The following is a 25,061-nucleotide window of genomic DNA, read 5'->3' as shown; positions in this document are numbered from 1 at the left end:
CTTTTAAGAATCCAACTTTACGGCCAGGCACGGTGGCTCACGCCTGTAATCCCAGCACTTTGGGAGGCCAAGGTGAGCAGATCACGAGGTCAGGAGTTCGAGACCATCCTGGCGAATATGGTGAAACCCCATCTCTACTAAAAATACAAAAAAACTAGCTGGGCGTGGTGGCGGGCGCCTGTAGTCCCAGCTACTCGGGAGGCTGAGGCAGGAGAATGGCATGAACCCGGGGGGCGGAGCTTGCAGTGAGCGGAGATTGCACCACTGCACTCCAGCCTGGGCGACAGAGCGAGACTCCATCTCAAAAAAAAAAAATTAAATAAAAATAAATAAAAAAGAAAAAAAAAGTAGCCAGGTGTGGTGATGGGCATCTGTAGTCCCAGCTACTCAGGAGGCTGAGGCAGGAGAATCGCTTGAACCCAGGAGGCGGAGGTTGCAGTGAGCCAAGATCGCACCACTGTACTCCAGCCTGGGCAGCAGAGCGAGACTCCGTCTCAAAAAAAATAAAAATAAAATAAAAAATAAAAATCCAACTTTACTGAAGATAATTTACACACAAAACAACTGCATCAGTGTTAAATTTTAACATAGTTAATTCTTGCCAATTCAATAAACAGCGGAATAGGATAAGTGACTCCAAACTGAAAATAGGAACACCATTTCCTTGATTCTGAAATGAATTTATTAAAGGGTTCTCAAGATTAGGGTATTTTCTTCATTTTAAAAAATGGAGTGTTTTAAATTATTAGGAGTGGTATGAACTTGTGCTTACAATAAGGAGGCATACTAAATTCAGACGCGAAGACTGGACCAGAAAAAATCAGGGACAAAACTTTTTGCAAAGTCTTTTCTCTCCAAAGAGAAAACCCTGGGACATGGCTCCAAAAGCATCGCAGGCTGATGTCTGTTGCACACTTAGCTTTGAAGAAGCTTTACTTTTTAATTATTAATTTTTAAAAAGTTCCACTTAAAAAAAAATTTTTTGAGATCAAGTTTCACTCTTGTTGCCCAGGCTGCAGTGCAATGGTGTGATCTTGGCTCACTGCAAACTCCGCCTACCAGGTTCAAGCGATTCTCCTGCCTTAGCCTCCCACATAGCTGGGATTACAGGCTTCGAAGCCACTTTTAGAGATAAGCAGATATGGCATCTAAATATTTCACTACTGTAATAAGTTAAAAAATAACGCAGATGGAGTCAAAAGTAAATAAAATACACCACTCAGCTTTGGAGACAGCAGCTAGAAATGTCCAGCACCAGCAGAACCGTGCAATGCCAGGATGGTGTCTACCCCACAGGTTCCAGGTCAGCCAAGAAGAGCATGGGACACCCAGGGGACCTGCCTGACAGGGGCTGCAAACTCTCACTGGCTACAGCTAGAGAGACATGGAGGGCGAACCTCAGGGTCACGGGCACGAGAGGGGCATCAGGGAACCAAGGGAAGAGGGTGGTTGGAGAGCAGAGGAACCGGGTGGCGAGGGGGACCCCTCAAGAGAAGCCGCCCACCCCGGCCTGAGGCCCACCCTAGAAGCATAGCCAACGAAGCCCAGGCTCCAGCTCCCTTATCCAGCTGAGACCCCTCTCGGCTGTTGCCCCTGGCCATCTTGGCCCACCTGGCAGCTCCCGGTCAAGCCCAGGAGCCTTTATTATTTATCTGACTTTCCTGATTTTCTGGCTCCCATGGGACTGAATCTGGGGATACTTCCTGCCTGAACTCCCCACAAAGCCCCAAACACAACCACTGGCCTAAATCATGGTCCTAGCCACCTGACCTGCTGGTGAATGTGGGGAGGGGACAGGCCACCAAACACCTCAAGGTCTCAGCTGCCCTTCAGCATGGTCACCACTCACTAGTGTAAGAGTGATCTGGGACTCCCGGGAAATTCAGATGCTTGGACCCCAGCCCATACCAGCGTCAGCATCTCTGGGAAACTGCATTTAGACAAGCTCCCAGGTGAGTCTGTGGCAGGGGACCCGGCCAACACTGTAGCACAGGGGAGGAGATCCCGAGAGCCCTGCCATGAGAGGCGGGTACCTCTGGGGGGCCGGGTGAACTGGAAGACGTGTACTCGGGTGCCAGTGCTTCCTGCATCAAACATGATCCCGTAGAAGACCTCGTGCCCGTCTGCAGCTGTCCCCAGGGGGCTGTGGGCCTGCTGACCCCACCGGGCCCCCGGGGCTGCCCTGGTGATGCTGAAGAAGGCCTGGGTGGCGGTGGCCCGGTGCCACTTGATGTAGGCAACATAGATGAACACGCCCACACACAGCCCCAGGGGGTATGCCACCTTCGCCACCCGCAGGCTCCCGTGGTTGGATATTTTTCTCATCCTTGTTTGCCAAGGACCGTGCTGCGGCTGCTGGTGGGAAGGGGGGAGAGGCAGGAAAAGCACGTTAGGGTGCTAGGATCCAAGGAGAGTCAGACGTCCCCAGGCCCAGGGACAAAATGTTCAACCTGAAACTGCTCCGTGTTCCCCCCAGGAATCAGAAGCTTCATTTGAGCCTCATAATTATTCCAGAAGGTGTGATCCCCATCCTACAGAAGAGGAACTGAGGTTTATAAAGGCAGGACAGCCTGCTCAAGGTCGCACACATTGCAGCTGCTGACCTGGTGCACAGACCACAGTGGCTGGCTCCTCTAAGGGAGGGTCCCACCAGCTTGGGACACATGGCGATTTATGTAAAAGAAGCCACATGTAAATGGTGTTCCCAAACTGTTCATGGGAACAGAAGCGCGTATCTGATTCAGTCTTTCAATCCTCAGTTATACTTCTATTCAGGCAATTTACTTTTCGAAAGGTTTAAACTCCGTCCCTTGGGCAACTACTGAGAGCCCCAGACAAACCTGAAAAATGTAGCTCGTTTTTCTGGAAGTTTCATAACGGATACCTTTTTTCATTCACATAGCCCATTCCTGCCAAGGAGAAAATAATGTCTGTGTACTTCCAAAGCCTACAAAAATTCTACTAGAGTAGCAAAATAAATTCACTGGGTGCCATTGTTTTTGGTTCGATATACCCAAAATGAAAGCATTTGTTCAAGTTTCATTGGCTGCTCCAGTGCGAGGCAGCATGTGGGAACCTGAGGCTTCAAAGGACAAGAAGTGTGGGCCGACTCTAGGGCCCCCAACCTTGGGGAACGTCCATCAGCCTGTCCCTCCCTCACTCTCTCAGTCGGTCCTGGTGAGTGGCCACTCCTAGGGGAGCAGGGATCAGGAGGATGCCGGGCTGGAAGTGGCACCGGCTCTGCCCGCAGCTACGTGTGACAGTGGGCAACATGCCCCTCAAGGGGGCCAGTTTCATCTGCAAGGTGGGGCTGCTCATTGGAGAGCCCCTCGTGACTGTGGGGATTCAATGTGCTCAGAACAGGCTGCAGGGAAAGCACGTGCCACATGCGGGCTTTACAGAAGGGCAGCAGGAGGTGACATCTCTGTGGAACCAAGGACAGCATGGCTGCACTGCTGAGGAGGGGGCAGTAGCAGTCAAAGGAGCAAGCCCGCAGCGACCTGCGCTACCTGAGGCTGTTTGGGCACAGCAGAACGGAAGGACAGGGCCCGCGGGGCAAAGCACGGGGAGCAGGCCATTCCTGGCCCCTCCTTCCTGAGGTCCCGCCTGTGGCCACAGCTGGATATCCTCAGGCCCAGAGAGGTAAGACAAGCACTGCCACAGTGCCCCGTGCCGAGGGGAGAGGCCTCACCAGTGGCCTGGCCACCCACACTGGAGCAGGAGACAGGAAAAACCACCCTTCCCTGAGCATCTGCCACGGGCAGGGCTGCAAAAAGCCTCTCCTGGCAGGTGCCAACGTGCAGCCCCTCCCCAGCCCTATTCTGGGCCTGGGTCCCACCACACTCGGGGGCTTCCCACAGCTCTCAGGATCATGTTGCAGCCTCTGCCTGGGCCTGTCCCTGCCGGCCCCTGTCCCTGCTGGCCCCTGTGGCTTCATCGCACTCCTCTTTCGTCCTTGCCCACAGTGCTCTGAGAACAGTGCCTTCTTCTGCCCCTAGAACTCAGCCTCTCCCTGCCTCAGGCCCCTGGCACAGACTGATACGCATTCCCAGAATACTTGTCCCACCACACTGGCACCGTGTCTTCATTCTGAAACCTCCACTGAAATGTCACTGCCACCCCCTTCCCGGATGCCCCCAACCTGCACATGCCCCATCACGCACTCTCTGAGCTCCCTTTACCCACCACCAGCAGTGATGAAACCAGTATTCATAGACCTGATTCCTGTAGGTCTGTGTCTCCCCACTAGGCCATGAGCCCCCAGGGCAGGGACTCAGCTTGTCTTGTGCTGCTGCTGCCCAGCATGGCATCCAAGCCCTTCTCTAGAATGGAAGAGGCTGCTCCTCTACCCCCGCACCTTCTATAACGTCACCAGACACACAACAGAGTCCTGTAGAAAATCCATAAACAGGGAGAGGACACAGCAAGACGGCAAAAGAGGAAGCTCAAAGGCCCTTGTTCCCCCACAGAGAAACACTAAAAACAACTAGAGACTGGTTAAAATATTGCATAGGAGCTCTGCAAAACAGGCAACGATCTACAGCAACCAAGAGAATGCCCAGCCCAGAAGCAGCCACATTCAGGATGTCAGGAACTCTGAGGTGTTTCACTCACCCCTGCCCCAGGCCTCCCCAGCATGGCACCACCTGATGAATGCGGCAGCCCGGTTCCCAATTCCTTCCCTTGAACTGGAGGGAGCAGAGCGGACCTTTCTGCAACATCCTAATCTGTCTTGGGCTGCCTGAGGAACAGATCTCTGTTTCACCTGACTCTGAGCTCAGAGCCCAGATAGGAAGTCAGGGAAATGGTTATGGGCACTGCTAGGCAAAGCTGTAGGATGACTATAGCCCCACGCATACCTGGGGCAAGAATGACAGGTGAGAAATACAGTAGAACATCTGAGGCCCAAGGAGGGACTGGGGGAGACTTTGAGAAAGTAAGATATATATATATATATATAAAGCTTTGTAAAAGTTTAATGGAGCCAACAAGGCAAATAAATTGTGTTCCGGCAGACATTAAGACCTGCTTTCTCTTACCAAAAAATAAGGGCACACATTTTTATCAAAATTCGATAATTCAGAGTTAAGGGTACTGAGATTAAGCTTCAAAGCACCAACTTAAACCAAACAGCAATGAAAAATTGGTTATTCAACTTGGAAAGAGGAACTAAAACCAAGGCATAAAGGGGAGATTAAATATGTGTTCCTTGATCTCAAAGTCCTTTTAGGAGCAGGAGTTCTGGCCACATGTGAGCAACACATCACACCACCAAACCCCAATTCCAGAATCTAAATTTACAATGATAGAAAAACAAAGGTTACTCCAAATGCATTTCTTGGTATATTCCAAAGGGAAGCTTGAAAGTATTCATAATGAAAGTAAGAGATTTTGAAACAGCCACGAATATGGGGAAATTGAAAAAAACACATACACAGGCCCAGGGAAGATGCATCCTCAGAAGAAACCAGAGGAAACTTTGGCCTTCATCCAGAGCTGATCCCCACACTTAGGCAGATCCTGCTATTTGGTGGGGGCCATTCCCAATACAGAGTTAGTCTTCAAAGACTGGGACAAGGAGCTGTTTTTCAAATGCCCAATGTTCAGCAAAAAAATCACACGGCATACAAAGAAACAGGAAAACACAGCTCATTCAGAGGAAGAAAATGAAGTGGCAGAACCCATCCCTGAAGAAATGCAGGCACTGGATGTACTTGACCAAGACTAAAAATGACTGTCTTAAATATGCTAAAAGAGCTGAAGGAAAACAGATAAAGAATGAAAAGAAATCAAGAAAATAACATATGACAACAAAATGAGAAATTATAAAAAGGAATCAAACAGAAATTGTGGAGCTGAGAAATACAAAACTGAACTGAAAACTCTGACCAGAGGGATTTGAGTCGGTAGAAGAATCAGCAAACTTCAACATAGCACATTTGAAAATATCAAGTCAGAGGAACAAAAAGAATGAGGAAAGTGAGCAGAGCCTCAGGGACTTAGGGGCCTCCCTCACGTGCACCATGCACATTATGGAAATCTAAGAAAGAGAAGAGAGAATGGGGCAGAGAAATTATGTGAAGAAAGAATAGCTAAAAACCTCCCAAATTTGACTAAAGACATGAATATAAACATCCAAGAAGCTCAGTAAACCCCACGTAAGATAAACCCAAAGAGACCAACATGAAGACACAATATAATCAAACTGTGTAAAGACAAAGGCAGAATATTGAAAGCAGCAAAAGAATGGCTCATGATGTACAAAGAATCCTCAATAACACTGTTAGCCAATGTCTTAGCAGAAACCTCAGAGGCCAGAGGCAGTGGGAAGATACCCCCAAACTGCTAAAACAAACAAACAAAAAAATCTGTCAACAGAGAATTCTACATTCAGCAAAACTGTCCTTCACAAATGAGGGAGAAATTAAGACACTTCCAGATTAATAAAAGATGTGCGTGTTCATTGCCACTAGATCTGCCCTACCAGACTACTAAAGGGAGTCCTGAAAGTTAAAACAAAAGGGCACTAGACAGCAGCTAAAAGCTGTAAGAAAATACAAACATTTCCAGCAAAGGCAAATGGAGGGACAAATATAGAAACTAGTATTAGTGTACAATTGGTCTGCAACACTACTTAATATTTTCTTCAGGATTTAAAAGATATATGCATAAAAATAATTACAGGTTTATGTTAATGGGTACATACCCAATATATATAGATGTAATCTGTGACATCAATAACAAAGTGGGGGTAGATGGAATTGTAAAGGAGAGGTTACTGTGTCTGACTGAAATTAAGTTGATATCAATTTAAAATAGATTGCTATAACTTCAGGCTGTTATGTATGTAATCCCTATGGTTGTAACCACAATGGAAATGTCTGTAGCATATACACAAAAGGAACTGAGAAGGGAATCAAAAACGGAAACTACAAATAATCAACTAAATACAAAATAAGGTAGTAATGAAGGACAAAAAAAGCTATAAAATATATATAAATAACAAAACATCAAAAACAAGTCCTTCCCTATGAGTAATTACTTTAAATATAAATGGATTAACTCCTTAATCAAGAGACACAGATTGACAGAATAGATTAAAAAACAAGACCTGACTACAGCTGACCCTCAAACAACATGGGTTTGAACTGCACAGGTCTACTTATATCCAGATTTTCTTCCACTCCTGCCACCTCTGAGACAGCAAGATCAACCTTTCCTCTTTCACCTCCTCCTTAGCTTACTCAACATGAAGACAATGAAGATGAAGACCTTTATGATAATCCACTTCCACTTAATAAATAGCAAATACATTTTCTCTTTCTTATGATTTCTTATTATAATAACATTTTCTGTTCATTAGCTTACCTTATAGTAATATAACATACAAACTATGTGTTAATCAACTATTTATGTTATCAGTAAGGCTTCTTCAACAGTAGGCTACTAGTTTGGGAGGCGGAGGCGAGAGGATATCTTGAGCCCAGGAGTTTGAGACCAGCCTGGGCAGCATAGGGAGACACTGTCTCTACAAAAAATAAAAAAATTAGCTGGACATGGTGGTGTGCGCCTGTAGTCCCAAGCTCCTTGGGGAGGCTGAGGTGGGAGGATCACTTGAGCCTTGGAGTTCAAGGCTGCAGTAAGCCATGATTACACCACTGCATTCTAGACTGAAGTTACACTTGGATTTTCAACTGCAGGTGAGGGGTTGGTATCCCTAACCCATGTTGTTCAAAGGTCAGCTGTATATTCTATCTACAAGAAGCTCACTTTTGATCTAAGAACACATATGGGCTGAAAGTAAAAGAATGGAAAAGAGTCAATTCAAAGAGTGACCAAAGGAGAGCAGGGGTTGCTGTACCAATATCAGACAAAAGAGACTTTAAGTCAAAAACTGTCACAAGAGACAAAGAAGTACATTATATCATGATAAAATAGTCAATTCACCAGGAATATAAAACAATTATAAACATATACACAGTAAACATCAAAACCCCTAAATATATGAACCAGACACTGATAAAATTGAAGAGAAATAGACAACTATCAATAATAGTAATATTATTATACTAGGAGACTGAAATGTCCCACTTTGAATAATGGACAGAAAAATTAGACAGAAGATCAATATAGAAACAGAGGACTCAAACGACACTACAGAGCAAGAGTGTAACGGAGCGCCCTGCATGCAACGCCAGACGGTGGGCTACAAAACAGGCCTTAATGCATTTTAAACAATCCAAACCATACAAAGCATCTTTTCCAGTCACAATGGGGTGACACCAGAAATCAACAGCAGAAGGAAAACTGGATAATTCACAATTATGTGGAAATTCAGCACAGCCCAATCTTAAACAACTGAAGAGTCAAAGAAGAAGTCATAATGAAAATTAGAAAATACCTTGAGATAAGTGAAAACAAAAACACAACCTTCCAAAACTTATGGGATGCAGCAAAAACAGTGCCAATAGGGAAATGTACAGCTGTAAACACTTGCTTTAGAAAAGAAGAAAGGGCTCAAACAACCTAACTGTACACCTTAAGTAACTAGTAAAAGAACAAACTAAACATAAAGCTAGAAAAAGGAGGAGGAAAAAAGGAGGAGGAAAAAAGTAAAAAAGGAGGAGGAAAATAATAAAGATTACAGGAGGATAGAGAATAGAAAAATAGAGAAAATAAATGAAACTAAAATTTGATTCTTCAAAAATCAACAAAACTGTCAAACCTTTAGCTAGACTGACTAAGGAATAAAGAAAGAAGACTCAAATAGCTGTAATCTGGAATGAAAGAGGGGACATTACTACCTATTTTACAGAATAAAAATGATTATAAGAGAGTACTACGAACAACTGTATGCCTACAAACTGGATAACCTAGATGAAATGGACAAATTCTTGAACACAAAATCCACCAAGATAAATAATAAAGAATTTGGCAATGATTTCTTAGATACGACACCAAAAGCACAGGCAATAAAAGCAAAAATAAACAAATGGAATTACATTAACTAAATGGCTTCTACCCAGCAAAAGAAACAATCAACAAAATGAAAACACAACCTACAGAACAGGAGAAAACAGGTAAATAGTACATCTGCTCTGAAAGGGGTTAATAATTAGAATATATAAAGAACTCTTAAAAGTCAACCACAAAAATAGCAATCTGTTTAAAAAATAACAGATAAAAAGCATACAAAAAGAGGCTCAACATCATGAATCGTTAGCAAAATGCAAAATTGCAATGAGCTATCACATCATATATTAGGACAGCCACTATCAAACAAACAGAAAATAACAAGTATTAGTGAGGATGTGGAGAAACTGGAACCCTTGTGCGCTGCTGGTGGGAAAGTCAGATGGTGCAGCTGCCTTGGAAAACAGCATGGAGCTTCCTCCGAAAATCAAAGCTGGAACTACCATATGGTTCAGCAATCCCACTTCTAAAAGAGTTGAAATCAGGATCTTAAAGAGATATCTACACACTCACATTCACTGAAGCATTATTCACAACAGACAGGAGAGAAATAATCCAAACATCCATCGACAGATGGATACACAAAATTCAATTTAGAGCTGAACTGAATTTTGAATGAAATATTATTCAGTTTTAAAAAGGAAGTAAATTCTGACATGTGCTACAACATGGATGAGCCTTAAAGGCATTTCACTAAGTGAAATAAGCCAGTCACAAAAAGACAAATATTGTAGGATTCCACTTACATGAGTTACAGAGCTGTCAAATCACACAGACAGAGAGTAGAAGGGCAGGTGCTGAGGGCAGTGGGTGAGGAGGACTTATTGGGTAAAGAGTTTCAGTCAGGGAACATGAAAAAGTTCTGGAGACGGATGGTGATGGTGGTTGTGAATGTACTTAATGCCACAGAACTGTACATTTAAAAAGGATTATGTTGCTAATTTTTGTGTTATGTGTATTTTATGGCAACTTCTAAAATCCTTCAATGGCTAGGCCAGGCAGGTAACAGAAATAAGTTCTGTGGGTATCGGACTTAAGGCACTCTGTGGGGTGAGGGATGGGGATAAAGAGGGCAGGGCCCACCCACTGTGTCAAATACAAAACGTTTTACAATTCTGATCACACTCACGCCCTACTCTCTCAACGAAGGAGACAGATCATGCCTGACTAAGGTTCTTCCTGCTGAAATGTGCTGGCGGAGCTCCTCCCTTGTGCTGCTGGCTGCTCTGCCATTTCCACAGCACATGACATGTGCAGTTCTTCTAGGCCCCTCTGGCTCTGGTTAGATGACGCCTACTCCAGGAGTAGGGACCAGCCCCCATCCCAGAACCTCCAGCACCCAACACAAAACCAGATCCCAGCAGCTGCTCAGCCAGCACCTGTTGAAGGGGGTCTGCTGATGGCTCAGCAGTGTACTGAGGGGGAAAACGGGCAGTAGGAGGAAGATGCAGGCATCATAGATGCCACAGGACTGGGTGATGGCCATGAACTGAAACAGGTCATCTGGGAAGGGGCCATTTGGCAGGAGGCAGCAGTGATCAGGTTTTTGACATGCTGAGTTTGATATGCCAGCGGGACATCAGTGGGAAACAGGACAGGCCCTATGAGAGGTGACAGGTTTGGGGCTGGTCCAGAAATAGGACGGACCCTATGAGAGGTGACAGGCTTGGGGCTGGGAATGATGCACATTAAGGCAACGTCAGCTGAGACTGGGAGAAGAGACGTGGCACTAGGAATGTCCGTTCCAAAGTAGCACCTCCCATACCACAACAGCCCTCCCTTCCTTAGCAGACTATAACCCAAAGTTTCAGGTTTCTAAGTAATCATCAAATGTTTAATTAAATTACAATATTTCTAGAGAAAGTTCTGAAACACTCCAGGGATGAATAATGAGGACAAAAAGCAATAGTAACACCCTACAACTGTGAATACGTTTAATAAAATCCTCTTTATGTAATCAAGACTTTTTTTTTTTTGAGACAGAGTCTCACTCTCTCACCTATCACCTAGGCTGGAGTGAAGTAGCACAATCTCAGCTTACTGCAACCTCTGCCTCCCAGGTTAAGCAATTCTCCTGCCTCAGCCTCCCAAGTACCTGAGATTACAGGCATGCACCACCACGCCCAGCTAATTTTTGTATTTTTAGTACAGACGGTATTTCACCATGTTGGCCAGGCTGGTCTCGAACTCCTGACCTCAAATGATCTGCCCACCTCGGCCTCCCAAAGTGCTGAAATTACAGGTGTGAGACACCGCACCTGGCCCATAATCAAATCTTATCATGTCCTATGTTAGTCTAAGAACCATATTCTACATGATCAGATTCACAGGTGGTATATTAAATCTAGAGGCAAAGTTGCTCCTTATTTACTGTCTACCCATTTAAAAAAACCCTTTATGTGCCATGCCCTGTGTCCAGCACCCCACAAAGCCTGCCTCACAGCCCTGGGTTTCCCTAAGACAGCACCAAGGCCCTGGGAATGTGTGTAAACGGAACTGTCTGAGATTGCAGTCAGTGTGTGGTGGAGCACACAAGAGTCCCTGGCTTCAGTCCCCAAATTGAACGTGCTTTATCACGACTTTAGAGATCCAAAAAACACTCACATACATAGACATACCTTACATAGACATAATTACTGAAGTTACACACCAAGTTCAGGAAGACAAAAGCAAGAGTCCAACTAGAACACAGTACTGAGAGAGCACAGAACCAGGAACAGCCTTGCTCTTGCACAAGGGTGGGAAGAAGAGTTCTTATAATCATGTTCACCATCCCCTCTCCCCAAGGAACAGGTCATCTCCATGTACCTGTGTCCCAGATCTAAACAGCAATTTCATTCCACTAGGTTAAGGTGTTTGCCCATGGCTGAGACACCTGCCGGAGAGGAAATGGGGTTTCTGTGGGAACCACTAACACCACAGCGTGAATGTGTTGATCAGGTTCTCCCTGACAGACTCTTTGAGGAAAACAATGCCATCTCAGTCTGTTCTTTAAAGGAGAGACAGGGTGGGATGAGGCTGTAAGGAAGGTAGCGGGTGGGGACTGAGGGAAGGCAGGGGTAGGAAGTAGGGTGCACACAGGCAAACAGAGAGGTGTGGCTCCTGCTGAGGCCACCCTCCAGCAGGTGGAGGCAGGAGTCAGAGAAGAGAATCTGAGGGTAGAGCAGTGTTGTTGGTGGTAGGAGCTACCCTGTCCCCTGGTTGGCTTTCTAGATGGGGATGGCAGGTCACCTCTTGGAAATACAGGGGCCATCTGATGTGGATTGATGGCTGCCTAATCTGTTGGCCAGTTTCTTCAGGTTTTCAGTTCAAGTACACGGAAGGGTCATGAATGCAAATGCCTGCCATGCACGCTGTATCAAAAAATGAAGCACATTAGAAACTTCCACTCATCCTCCTGGTGGGTTTCAGTAGGTTTTTCTCTCCTTGGCAAAAACCGGTGCGTGAACCGCCCGTCAACACCACCTGCTGTTTCCTTTACACAGGAGGCGGTGGGAGGGGAGGCGCTTCCAGATCTCCTGACACAAAGGGCTGCCCACCTCCCTGGTCCTTTACCCGAACCTTCAGGAGGCAGACGACACACACACTAGCCAGCCACTCTCTCCAAGGCAAGGGGAGGGGGACAAAAAGCAATTTTGAGATTTGTACAGTGCTTGCCAGGTCCTTCAAAAATGACTACCGGCCGCCCATGGCTCTTGCACAGCGGGTGGGAGGAAGAGTCCTTGTAATCCACCTCTCCCAAGGAACTCCTGCGCGAGGTTTCAGATTCCCCGCCTGCAGGCTATGGCTGACTTCCCCGTATCCTGTGTGACGTGGGATGTGTGGCTTCGCGCAGGTAAGGCTGGAATACAGGTGCCTGGAGGGACACCCAGAGCTGCCCAGGCACTTCCCGGCGGCTGCTTCCTTTGCACTTTGCACTTACAGGTGCACTTATAATAAAAACACCCTCCCTTCCACGCTCCCCTGGGCCCTCCCATCTCTCCTTCCTCTTCCACGCTCTCCTGGCTGTTGAATGTTTTCCACTGAAGGAGTCTAGTCTGTCCACCTAGGGGGCTCTCCCTCCCTCGGTCCAGGGCATTCGCGGCTCACAGGTCAGCTCGGGCAGAACCGCCCTGACCACCTATGAGCTCCTCGGGACACCACCCCAATGCCAGGGTGAATCGTCCTTACACCCTCAGTCCTGTCCGAGCGGCCTGATCCTACCTGTTTCCCAGAAACTGCTACGCGAAGCTTCCCCGCCGGGCTCATCCAGGGCGGAGGGGTCTGTCCCTGACGCAGACTGGGGGCGGGTCCGCAAAAGCGGGCTGAATGAATGAACGCAGCAGGGCTGGGGCCCCCTGGGGCTACAGGCCCCTGCTATTTGGCCCGCCCTGTGGCCCAAAACACTGGACTTGCCCCCCACCGGTCAGCGGAGCCCAGACATCCAGGGAGCCCTAATGGAGCCTGGACAGGAAGGCAGCAGGAGGTGGGACCCGGGGTGCGAGTGACCCCGAGGCCGTCCTCCGGAGCGCAGCGCGCCCGCGTGGGGGAGGCCCGCCTACAGTCGGTGATCCCCGGCCGCCCCCGCCAGCGCCCCGGCCCGCCGCTTACCATGCACCGCGCGCTCCGCCACACCCACGGAGACGAGTGCCCTTTTCCGGGGAGCAGGCGGCAGCCGGTCTTTTGGGCTCCCCCGCCCCGGCCGGCGCCACCCCGGCCTCCACCCGCGGGATACGACCCCACGATTCCCTAGGGCCTGGGCTCCGCCCCATGCACGTGGCGTCACAGGCTGGGCGGGGGGGCGCACCCAGCCGCGCATGCGCAGGCGGGAGAGGAGGTGGGGGTCGGGGGACCCAGTTGCGCAGGCGCGGGCGGAGTATGGGTGCTCAGCTGCGTAGGCGCGATGGCCTTCTTTTCTTTCTGCAGGTGGCCTTGCGGTTTTCTCCAGTCCACAGCCGGGCTGGCGTCGGCCCAGAGAGGGGGGCTCGGCAGTCTGGTTCCCCGAGCGTCTCATGGCGGGCCCTCGCCAGATTCAAGGGGTTCCCTTGGCCAGTTTCCTTACGGCGCGGCGGAGCTGGCCCTCGTCGTCCCTGGTAGGGGGCAGCCTCACAGCCTGGACCGGCCTGTGCAATTTCCCCCATCCCTCCACGTCTACATTTTATTTTTTTCTTTTTCTTTTTTTAGGACAATGCATGATGGAAATGCAGCCACATCATAGCAGGCAGGTTCATGAAATCTGCCCTCCTCCCACCGTTTCTTGACCCCATTTTCTTATTTTTTTTTTTAACAGGTTCTCACCCAGGCTGGAGTGCAGTGATGTGGTCTCAGCTCACTGCAACCTCTGCCTCCCGGGTTCAAGCGATTCTGTTGCCTCAGCTTCCTGAGTAGCTGGGATTACAGGTGTGCGCCACCACGCCTGGCTAATTTTTGTACCTTTAGTAGTGACGAGGTTTCGCCCTGTTGGTCAGGCTGGTCTCGAACTCCTGACCTAAGGTGATCCGCCTGCCTCGGCCTCCCAAAGTGCTGGGTCTATAGGCATAAGCCACCACACCCGGCCCTTGACCCCATTTTCTGTCTTCCTAGAAATCACCAAGGTTGCAACTCCTGACTGTCCTGGCTCACAGGCTCCAGCTTACTTAAGGACCCCACGGTGGGGGCTGCCCACTTGCACACCTATGCTAGGCGCCCTCATTCCCGCAAGGGCCAGAGCCCCTTCCCGGCCCATGGCGTCTGGCCAAGGAGGTGTGGGTGCGCCCCAGCCAGGCCTGGTCCTAGAGGACGGCCCCACCTGCGCACTGGGGCATCTGGGAGAGCTATTAGTGGAAGAAGCCCAGGTTCCTGAAGCACCAAGTGGGCAAGAGTTTATTTTCAGGATGGGACGCTTTTGAGGGTGAATAAGTGCTAGCTGTATGGGATGCGGGGACAGTACACAGGCCCGGCCTGGCAGCCGGGCAATGCGGTGCCTGTTGGAAGGTCGCCCACAAGCACCTGGTTGGACACTGCCACTGAGATTTGGTTATTACAGAGGTTAGCCTATGCGGGCCTTCACTGATGGACCTTGAAGTGTTTCCCAGTTGCTTTGGGTTAGGAATAATGTGACTGGATCCCGTGGATTGTCTTTGTGCATGCATGTGGGTATATCTGTCAGAAATATTCTTAGAGGTGGAATTGGCTATGGTGGGATATGTCCTTTAAAATAATATATTAGCCAAACGTGGCTAAATTGCCCCCCTTAGACACTGTACTAATTTACACTCTGGCAAATAATGTGTAAGACTGTGGGTTTCCACACATCTTCACCAGTGGGGTCTTTCCAAACTTTTGGATCTTTCCCAATCCAATAATGACAAAACTATATCTCATGGTTTTAATTTACACTTCCTAGTATTTTGAGATCCTGTCGTGAAGTGGTGATGGCCCTGTTTCTGCCTGCTGCACTTGGCAACATGTGTTATCACTTCCTTTCTTTTCACCACTTTTTACTCTTAGAGTTTCTAGAATTTGTGAAAGTAAAATCTTTTTGCTGGCATGGGCTTTTGTGTGTATTATACACTGCTTGGAAAGGTCTTGCACCACATCTTCCCTTCGTAGATTGTTTCTCAATGTTTAATACTCAGCTCAAATGTCACCTCCTCAGACCATTTTATCTAGAATGGCCTCCTCTAGTTATTCTCTGTCACCTTTTATGTTATTTCCTTCATAGCACTCATCACACTGTAACCACCCAACAGCTTCTTCTTGCCTGTCGCCCAGATAGAGCCAATTTTTCAAGATGGGAATTGCAATAAAGAGTTCGATACACATAGAGCTGGCTAACCAGGAGAGCAGAGGCTTATTACTCCTCAAATCAGCCTCTCCTCAAATTCGGAGTCTAAGGAATTTTTTGGGGGGGGTTTGTTTTTGAGACAGTGTCTTGCTTTGTTGTCCAGGCTGGAGTGCAGTGGTGCAGTCTAGGCTTACTGCAACCTCCACCTCCTGTTCAAGCGATTCTCATGCCTCAGCCTTACAAGTAGCTGGGATTACAAGCGCACACCACCATGCCCAGCTAATTATTTGTATTTTTAGTAGAGACGGGGTTTCACCGTGTTGGCCAGGCTGGTCTCGAACTCCTGCTCTCAAGTGATTTGCCCTCCTTGGCCTCCCAAAGTGCTGGGATTGTGCCAGTCTGGAGGCTAGGGTTTTTAAAAGATAGTTTAGCAGTCAGGGGGCTAGGGAATGGTGAGTGCTGATTGGTTGGGTTAGGGATGAAATCCTGAAGAGATGAAGCTTTCGTCTTGCTCTGGGTTAGTTCCTGGGTTGGGGTCACAAGACGAGATAGCCAGTTTACCAGTCTGGGTGGCTAGTCCATCACAATGTGGGGTCTGAAAAATACCTTGAACACCAATCTTATGTTATATAATAGTAATATTATCTATTGGAGCAATTATGGAGGTTAGGAATCTTGTGGCTTCGGGCTGCATGACTCCTAAGCCATAATTTTTTTTTTTTTTTTTTTTTGAGATGAAGTCTTGCTCTTGTCCCCCAGGCTGGAGTGCAATGGTGTGATCTCGGCTCGCTGCAACCTCTGCCTCCCGGGTTCAAGCAATTATCCTGCCTCAGCCTCCTGAGTAGCTGGGATTACAGGCACCTGCCACCACGCCCGGCTAATTTTTATATTTTTAGTAGAGACAGGGTTTCACCATGTTGGCCAGGCTGGTCTTGAACTACTGACCTCAGGTGATCTGCCCACCCTGGCCTCCCAAAGTGCTGGGATTACAGGTGTGAGCCATCGCGCCCGGCCCATAAATTTTAATCTTGTGGCTAATTTGTTAGTTTCACAAAGGTGGTCTGGTCCCCAAGCAAGAAGGAGGTTTGTTTCAGGGGGGGGCTGTTATATTTGGTTTAAAGTGAAATTATAAACTAAGTTTCTCCACAGATTTGTTTGGCCTATGCCCAGGAATGTGCAAAGGCAGATTGGAGGTTAGAAGATGGAGTCGGTTAGGCCAGCTTTCTTTCACTGTTGTAATTTTCCTATGTCATATTTTTCTTATTGTCATAATTTTTGCAAAGACACAACACCCGTCATTACTTGTTTGCTGACTTGTTTATTGGTAAATTCTTTGTTCCACTACTGAAATGAAGCTCCATGAGAACAAATAAGTTGGTCTGTCCTGCTCACTGCTGCATGTCTGGCACTCTGTCTAGAACATGGTAGGTGCCTGTAGCATACATTATTGGTGCTAATGTCCCTTGCCTGCCTCTGCCGTCAGCTCTCTGATTGTTGTGGAGAGTTCCCCTGAATGCTGCCACCTCAAGCATCTCGTTGCTGTCCTCTTTAGGGCTTATCTTACGACTTTCTCCGGAAGCCTTGGGAGCAGGCGCAGCCTGGAATTCAGGGAAATTTAACATCCCCGGGGCAACTGCAGGGCAGTTTGGGTGGCCTTGGACAGACCCAGTCCCCTTTTTACCATGTAGTTCTCAGGAATAACTGCAGAATGTGCTAGGATTGCAGCATCTTGAGATAAGGGAGAACTGGCTGAACAGCCCAAGGTCAGTTCCAGTCTCCTGCTGAAAATAGGATGTCCTTCAACACTGCCCAGCAAATCACATTACCCTGGGATGTTAAACCCAGGGCAGGCTGCTCTCTGGCATTCCTCGTCTGTGGTGCAAGTGGGGCATGCCCAGTTGAGACTCCATTTGCCCTGAGCAGATTTCCTGAGCCTCAGGCAACCAGCTTGCAATGAATGCTCCTCTTGTCCCTTGCTGCCTGTCTGTAAGTAATAAATTTGCTTCATATAACTTATTGAGTATGAATGCGTTCTCTCTCACTGGACACAGACATGTTGGTAACCAATGCACAGTGAACCTCCTTCACAGCAACCCTTAATTAACTGGGGATATATACCTCAGCCTTCTGTCCCCAGAGGACCAATTCTGAGTCCTCAGTAGAAGTGAGCCTCAGTGACCCTTAGTGGTGATCAGCTCAGTAATGCCCCCTTGGGTTGGTCCTCCGATCTTTCTCGGTTCTCTCTCTCTCTCTCTCTCCTGCTTCTGGGAATCACCTCCCAGGTCAACTACCTGCATCTAAGCTCTTGACTCAAACTGCCTTTGGGTAAACTCAAATGAAGTCAACATATAAAATATTTCTTGAAGAAATGGATGGATTGATGAGGGTGCTTCTAATGTTTTCACTTGTCAGCCAGAAGCAGCTCAGCCCTGCAGGCAGAAGGTGAAGGAAGCCAATTGGCACCCGCCCTAGGAATGCAGGAGCAGATAACTGAGACATGGGCTCCAGCAGAACATGTATGCAAGTGTTCTGACAGCAGGGGGGAGTGCCTGGCCCTGCTTTTTGGGGGTGAGAATGTTTTAGAAGAGGTTGGTGAGTTACCAAGCTGCCTCAATTTACCTAACTTGAGTAATAGTGGAGGAAGCCCTCTATTGTGTGTGGCTTGCTCACATGTGTCCACCTACTCACAAAAGTCCAGGAGGACAGCTGCAAAGCTGTCTGCTCAGTGAAGGAACAGAACATGGACTGTGCAGTGTCTCTGTAGCAGAGGCTGCCAGGCCTCCTGCCTGTGTCTGTCCCACTGTGTGCTCCCGTGACTCTCCACAGCAGGGCCTTCTTTTGGCAGAGGAAGTGCCAGGAGGTAATGCTTCTGAGAGCAGTTTCAGCCCATGTCAGGTGCAAAGACCCTGGCTCCCTTTCCACTCAGGACAACTCTCCGGCATGTCTACTTGGCATTGAACACAGTGGTCCAGAGCGGTAACCCACACTGGCTTTCCTCCCTTCCCTGTCTCACTGCCCCACTCCTCTACTGGTTTTTCCTGGTGTCACCTCCTAAATAAACTACTTGCACTCAAATCATTCTTTAGAATTTGTTTTGGAAGAATTCAACCTAAGATACCATCACTCATAGGTCATTTGTTAATAATATCAAACAAAACATCTTAGCCACTGCTCTGATTTCTTCCTTTGGTTCCCTGAAATCTATAACCACAAATCACTGCTTTCTCTACCAAATATTTTTCCTGTAACTCACCAAAAAAGTCAGATCTTCCCTGCTCATGGCTAGCCTTCCATTTTCCAAAATCTACTACAAACAAGAAAAAATGTGAGGGAAACCCTACTCTTCCCCAAGAGAACTTGGCATTTATGATTCCTGCCTGCCACATGGGCCATTGTGTGGTCTCTTTTAGCTTCCCGATGGATGATCCAACAGATGTCATCTTGCACTGTAGTGATAGTCTTGTTGGGACCACATGAAGTGCAGCTGTAAAACAGGTAATACTGTTCTTGGCAATTGGTCGACTGTCCTGGTAGGGGGAGACTGGTGTGAACAGATTGTCCCATTTAGAGTAGCTGTTAATGGACTGTCTTCTCTCCATGAGGGCCTTTAGCATTTTACATTGTATAGGTTGTCGTCTACCAGATTAAGAAAATGTTCTTCTATTTCTAGTTTAAGAGTTTTAAAAAATCATTAATGAATGTTCAGTTTTATTTTGTGCATTTCCTTCATCTATACATGATATTATTATTTTTCTCCACTAATTTTCTTTTTTGTTTGAGATGGAGTTTCGCTCTGTCACCCAGGCTGGAGTGCAGTGGCATGATCTTGGCTCACTGCAACCTCCACCTCCCTGGTTCAAGCAATTCCCCTGCCTCAGCCTCCCAAGTAGCTGGGATTACAGGCACACGCTGGCATGCCCAGCTAATTCTTTTGTATTTTTAGTAGAGACGGGGTTTCACCATGTTGGCCAGACTGGTCTCGAACTCCTGACCTCAGGCAATCCACCTGCCTCAACCTTCCAAAGTGCTGGGATTACAGGCGTGAGCCACCGCGCCGGCCCACTAATTTGTTAATATGATAAGTTCTAACGTTGAATCATTCCCGCATTCCCAAATAAGCATACTTTTAAAATACATTGCTGGATTTGACTTGCTAACATTGTGTTTAGGTTCTTTGCTCCTACATTCACAAAAAGATTGGCTTCTAATGTTCTTTCTAATATAGTACTTGTTTAGAAACTATCAAGATTAAATTAGCCTTACAGAATGAGTTGGAGATTTTCTGCCTTTAAATCTTCTAAATGGGTTTAAGTTTTGAAGTTTCTATTTCTTGAATATTTGATGGAATATTTCTGTTTTCTGTGTGAAATATTTTAAACTGCTGATTCTATTTCTAATCAAGCTTTCTACTTCTTTCGCAGGCAGTTTTGGCATCTTTCTAAAGGAATCATCACATTTCACCTAAGTTTTCAGTGTTACTGGTATAACATTATTCACATCTTCTTAGCATTTGCAGCGATAGCCTCCATTTCACTCATAATAATTAATTTGTAAATTTTCCTTTTTTTCTTGGTCAGCATCTCCAGAAATGCCTAAGTTTTATTACTTCTCTTCCCCAAGAGCTAACTTTTGGCTTTGTGGAACTCCTCTGTATCTTTGTTTAATATTTTTAAATTTATTTCATCTTTATTATTTCTTTCTTTGTACTTAGAGTGTGTTGTTTTTTAAAATTTTCTAGTTTAAGCTGAACACATATTAATTTTTAGCCTATCTTCTTTTTTTAAATTAAAGACTAAAACTTTATTATTCTTATTTAAAATAAATGAAGCAAAAGAAGTTACAAGAGAACTTATGTCTAACCAAGAGGCAGGTGGGTGAGTGGGAAGGGAGGCTGTTCTCTGCTCACTGCAATGCTGCACATCATGGTGGAGAGTAGGTCATGCTGTGAGAAACAAACTCACTGGTCCAAACCCAAAGTTTGGGCTCAGAGACCCAGAGAACAGTGGAAGCGAGACTTTAATGACAATCTTGCAAGATCGGGTGTCTGATGGGCAGGCACACCCAGTACAGTTTCAAAAGCAATTTATCCCCTAGTGTGCAGGTCCCTCCCTTGGTTCCTCATAGGCTGAGTACTATGGGGTCACAGTCTTCCTGGACATTGCCTATTGGTTGTTGGGTAGGGGTTTTAGGCATTTTCTTTAGGATTGTTCTGCTGCATTTTGTTGCAGCCATAATACATTGCAATCCTAGTTAGCTCAAGGGCTCTTCAAGTACTTGACTTATGACCTAAGTATCTGGGCAGGCTGATAAGAACAGACAAAGTGAGCTATTTTGCAAGCTAGTAAACTTTCATCTTAGACTAAACTCCTTTGGTTTGGGTGAGGGCAACTAAGGCAGTGGGGTAGGGTGGAGGGTGGGGAGGCGACAAGCAGGCATTGGCTATCCAAGCAGGGGCCTAGTGTATCCTGTTTCTTCTGTAGTTTGCTGACCTAAACCAATTCAAGGCACTTTGTCTTGGAAATGGACCACTGTATATATTATTTCCTTCATGCTCAGTACAGATAGCTCTCTCAGGGTTATTGTTAACATTCAAGGGGTGATAAAACAAATGCTTCCTGCAGCCAATTCCATTATCTAAGAATCCAAGTCAAATTTTGTTTTGTTTTGTTGAGAAAGGGCATTGCAAAGGTTCAAAAAAATGAAGTCCAAATAGCACTGTATCATCAAGCATTTGCCTTTTTAAAGAATGTATGTATATTTTACAGCCCAGCACCTCACGCTCAGGAAGGGTGTTTCTGAAGACTGATAAAGCCCCTTCAGTGAATGGCGCCAGGGCACAGCTGTCCACGACAAAGTGAGGGTTAGTAACTGCAGCGAGGAAGCCACATCAGAGGCCTCCTGCCTTCAGCATGGGATAGACAGGATTGCGGAGAAGGGAGGAGTTCAGGTGAAGTTTAAAATGAAGCCGTTTCTGACAGGCTGAAAGCAGGGCTGTGGGTCACAGGGTGACACATCACACTGGGCTGAGAGGCTGACTTGGGGGCCCGAGCTCAAGACAAATGCACCATGTTGTATCTGGAAGCCCCTTATCTGAGGCTGTGAGCCAAGGTGAGAGCTCCAGGCTGCTTCTCTGTGTGGAGTGGCCTGCATGGCTGAGCATCTGCAGGCGACAGGATTCCAGACAGCAAGCTTTCTCAGGGCGGAGAAGTGGAGTACGAGATTTCTCAGCACAGAGGCTGAGGGAGCTGCCTCAGGCTGGCTATCTTTGTTCCTTAGCCCTGCTCTCCTATTACCTGGGGCCTGCCCCTCCTCCCACCTATCTCCTGGCTCCCAGTCTCCCAGGCTCCAGAATGCTTGGGCCAAGGTAGCTAGGTAACCAGAAGACACTCACCCTTGGTGCACTGGAAACAGTAACACCAGAGTGTCCTCCACATGACCCCAGAACTATGACAAGGTCCCCCTCAAAAACCATCCCTACTAGGGAGCCCCAAGCCAGGCTGCCCAGTGGGAGCTATGTGCTGCTGTCTTACTCGAAGTCAACTTTCAGCCTATCTTATAAGAAATGCAGTTAGAGCTTTGCATTTCCTATAAGCACCCTTGTAGCTCTGTCCCACACATTTGGCTGTATTGTATTTTTGTAATTGTCAGTTTGGAACATTTTCTAAAGTCCACTATTACAGTGTTTCTCTGTCCATGTGTTATTTAGAAATATTTTTGCTCTCTCCATTCCAAGATGGCCAGATAAGAATAGCTCCAGTCTGCAGCTCCCAGCATGATCCACGCAGAAGATGGGTGATTTCTGCATTTCCAACTGAGGTACCTGGTTCTTCTCATTGGGACTGGTTGGACAGTGGGTGCAGCCCACAGAGGGCGAGCCAAAGCAGGGTGGGGCATTGCCTCACCTGGGAACAACAAGGGGTTGGGGGATTTCCCTTTCCTAGCCAAAGGAAGCCGTGACAGACTGTACCTGGAAAAACGGGACACTCTCCCCCAAATACTGTGCTTTTCCAAAGGTCTTAGCAAATGGCACACCAGGAGATTATATCCCGCACATGGCTCGGTGGATCCCACGCCTATGGAGTCTTGCTCACTGCTAGTGCAGCAGTCTGAGATCAACCTGTGAGGCAGCAGCCTAGCAGGGGAAGGGGCGTCTGCCATTGCTGCAGCTTGAGTAGGTAAACAAAGCGGCTGGGGAAGCTTGAACTGGGCAGAGCCCACTGCAGCTCAGCAAGGCCTGCTGCCTTTGTAGTCTCTACTGCTGGGGGCAGGGCATAGCAGAACAAAAGGCAGCAGAAACTTCTGCAGACTTAAACATCCCTGTCTGACAGCTCTGAAGAGAGCAGTGGTTCTCCCAGCATGGTGTTTGAGCTCTGAGAATGAACAGACTGACTCCTCAAGTGGGTCTCTCACCCCCGTGTAGCCTGACTGGGAGACATCTCCCAGTAGGGGCCAACTGACATCTCATACAGGTGGGTGCCCCTCTGGGATGAAGCTTCCAGAGGAAGGATCAGGCAGCAATATTTACTGTTCTGCAATATTTGCTGTTTTGCAGCCTCCGCTGGTGATACCCAGGCAAACAGGGTCTGGCATGGACCTTCAGCAAACTCCAACCGACCTGCAGCTGAGGGACCTGTTAGAAGGAAAACTAACAAACAGAAAGGAATAGCATCAACATCAACAGAAAGGACATCCACACCAAAACCCCATCTGTAGGTCACTAACATCAAAGACCAAAGAGAGATAAAACCACAAAGGTGGGGAGAAACCAGAGCAGAAAAGCTGAAAATTCTAAAAACCAGAGCACCTCTTCTCCTTCAAAGGATCGCAGCTCCTCACCAGCAATGGAACAAAGCTGGATGGAGAATGATTTTGATGAGCTGAAGGCTTCAGAAGGTTGGTAATAACAAACTTCTCTGAGCTAAAGGAGGAGGATGTTTGAAACCATTACAAGGAAGCTAAACACCTTGAAAAAAGATTAGACGAAGGGCTAACTAGAATAAGCAGTGTAGAGAAGACCTTAAATGACGTGATGGAGCTGAAAACCATGGCATGAGAACTATGTGTTGCATGCACAAGTTTCAATAGCCAATTCGATCAAGTGGAACAAAGGGTATCAGTGATTGATGATCAAATTAATGAAATAAAGGGTGAAGAGAAGTTTAGAGAAAAAAGAGTAAAAAGAAATGAACAAAGCCTCCAAGAAATACAAGACTACGTGAAAAGACCAAATCTACATTTGATTGGTATACCTGAAAGTGATGGGGAGAATGGAACCAAGTTGGAAAACACTCTTCAGGATATTATCCAGGAGAACTTCCCCAACCTAGCAAGGCAGGTCAACATTCAAATTCAGGAAATACAGAGAACACCACAAAGATACTCCTTGAGAAGAGCAGCCTCAAGACACATAATCATCAGATTCACCAAGGTTGAAATGAAGGAAAAAATGTTAAGGCCAGCCAGAGAGAAAGGTCGGGTTACCCACAAAGGGAAGCCCATCAGATTAACAGGAGATCTCTCAGCAGAAACTCTACAAGCCAGAAGAGAGTGGGGGCCGATATTTAACATTCTTAAAGAAAAGAATTTTCAACCCAGAATCACATATCCAGCCAAACTAAGTTTCATAAGTGAAGGAGAAATAAAATCCTTTACAGACAAGCAAATGCTGAGAGATTTTGTCACCACCAGGCCTACCTTACAAGAGCTCCTGAAAGAAGCACTAAACATGGAAAGGAACAACCAGTACCAGCCACTGCAAAATCATGCCAAATTGTAAAGACCATCGATGCTAGGAAGAAACTATATCAACTAACGGGCAAAATAACCAGTTAACATCATAATGACAGGATCAAATTCACATATAATAATATTAACCTTAAAAGTAAATGGGCTAAATGCGCGAATTAAAAGACACAGACTGGCAAATTGGATAAAGAGTCAAGACCCATTAGTGTGCTGTATTCAGGAGACCCATCTCATGTGCAGAGACACACATAGGCTCAAAATAAAGGGATGGAGGGAGATCTACCAAGCAAATTGAAAGCAAAAAAAAAAAGCAGGGGTTGTAATCCTAGTCTCTGATGAAACAGACTTTAAACCAACAAAAGATCAAAAGAGACAAGGAAGGCCATTACGTAATGGTAAAGAGATCAATGCAACAAGAAGAGCTAACTATCCTAAATATATATGCAACAATACAGGAGCACCCAGATTCATACAGCAAGTCCTTAGAGACCTACAAAGAGACTTGGACTCCCACACAATAATAATGGGAGACTTTAACACCCACTGTCAATATTAGACAGATTAACAAGACAGAAGGTTAACAAGGATATCCAGGACT

At 46.8% G+C, this 25,061-nt stretch overlaps 1 protein-coding gene and 1 long non-coding RNA gene across 36 annotated transcripts in view, besides 5 other annotated features; one reads left to right on the top strand and one right to left on the bottom strand.

Moving 5' to 3' along the window:
• ENTPD6 (ectonucleoside triphosphate diphosphohydrolase 6) overlaps positions 1-13,719 on the bottom strand; it is a 32,364-nt gene extending 18,645 nt beyond the window's left edge. For 7 of the 35 annotated variants that reach the window (NM_001322397.2, NM_001247.5, NM_001322388.2 and 4 more), the window contains exons 1-3: positions 13,564-13,719; positions 2,841-2,909; positions 2,034-2,355 (exon numbers count right to left, since the gene is read on the bottom strand). In NM_001322397.2, the coding sequence (NP_001309326.2) occupies positions 2,034-2,355; positions 2,841-2,894 (376 nt within the window). In that variant the 5' untranslated portion in view covers positions 2,895-2,909; positions 13,564-13,719. Of the gene's footprint in view, positions 1-2,033; positions 2,356-2,840; positions 2,910-12,204; positions 12,327-13,176; positions 13,459-13,563 lie in introns of those variants that run through there. The other 28 variants (NM_001322380.2, NM_001322384.2, XM_017028134.2 and 25 more) reach the window with 11 other exon arrangements.
• Positions 11,994-12,043: an enhancer, noted in NCBI's record as "active region_17663". NCBI's record gives its function as "activates an Ori minimal core promoter by ATAC-STARR-seq in GM12878 lymphoblastoid cells {active_cell/tissue: GM12878}" and the evidence as "EXISTENCE:reporter gene assay evidence [ECO:0000049][PMID:35858748]".
• Positions 12,539-24,759, top strand: LOC101926889 (uncharacterized). The gene is made up of 6 exons (NR_109994.1): positions 12,539-12,808; positions 19,129-19,213; positions 21,484-21,578; positions 22,452-22,534; positions 22,732-22,889; positions 23,271-24,759. It is a non-coding gene; the product is annotated as an uncharacterized LOC101926889 (long non-coding RNA).
• Positions 12,574-12,723: an enhancer, noted in NCBI's record as "active region_17662". NCBI's record gives its function as "activates an Ori minimal core promoter by ATAC-STARR-seq in GM12878 lymphoblastoid cells {active_cell/tissue: GM12878}" and the evidence as "EXISTENCE:reporter gene assay evidence [ECO:0000049][PMID:35858748]".
• Positions 13,104-13,173: an enhancer, noted in NCBI's record as "active region_17661". NCBI's record gives its function as "activates an Ori minimal core promoter by ATAC-STARR-seq in GM12878 lymphoblastoid cells {active_cell/tissue: GM12878}" and the evidence as "EXISTENCE:reporter gene assay evidence [ECO:0000049][PMID:35858748]".
• Positions 13,464-13,883: a silencer, noted in NCBI's record as "silent region_12741". NCBI's record gives its function as "represses an Ori minimal core promoter by ATAC-STARR-seq in GM12878 lymphoblastoid cells {active_cell/tissue: GM12878}" and the evidence as "EXISTENCE:reporter gene assay evidence [ECO:0000049][PMID:35858748]".
• Positions 14,024-14,263: an enhancer, noted in NCBI's record as "active region_17660". NCBI's record gives its function as "activates an Ori minimal core promoter by ATAC-STARR-seq in GM12878 lymphoblastoid cells {active_cell/tissue: GM12878}" and the evidence as "EXISTENCE:reporter gene assay evidence [ECO:0000049][PMID:35858748]".
• Positions 24,760-25,061: the final 302 nt, after the last annotated feature.

The sequence above is a fragment of the Homo sapiens genome, chromosome 20, assembly GCF_000001405.40.
Source record: "Homo sapiens chromosome 20, GRCh38.p14 Primary Assembly".
In the NCBI taxonomy this organism is placed as follows: domain Eukaryota; kingdom Metazoa; phylum Chordata; class Mammalia; order Primates; family Hominidae; genus Homo; species Homo sapiens.
The sequence above is the reverse complement of the archived record's forward strand: the minus strand, read 5'-3'. Positions and strand labels throughout refer to the sequence as shown.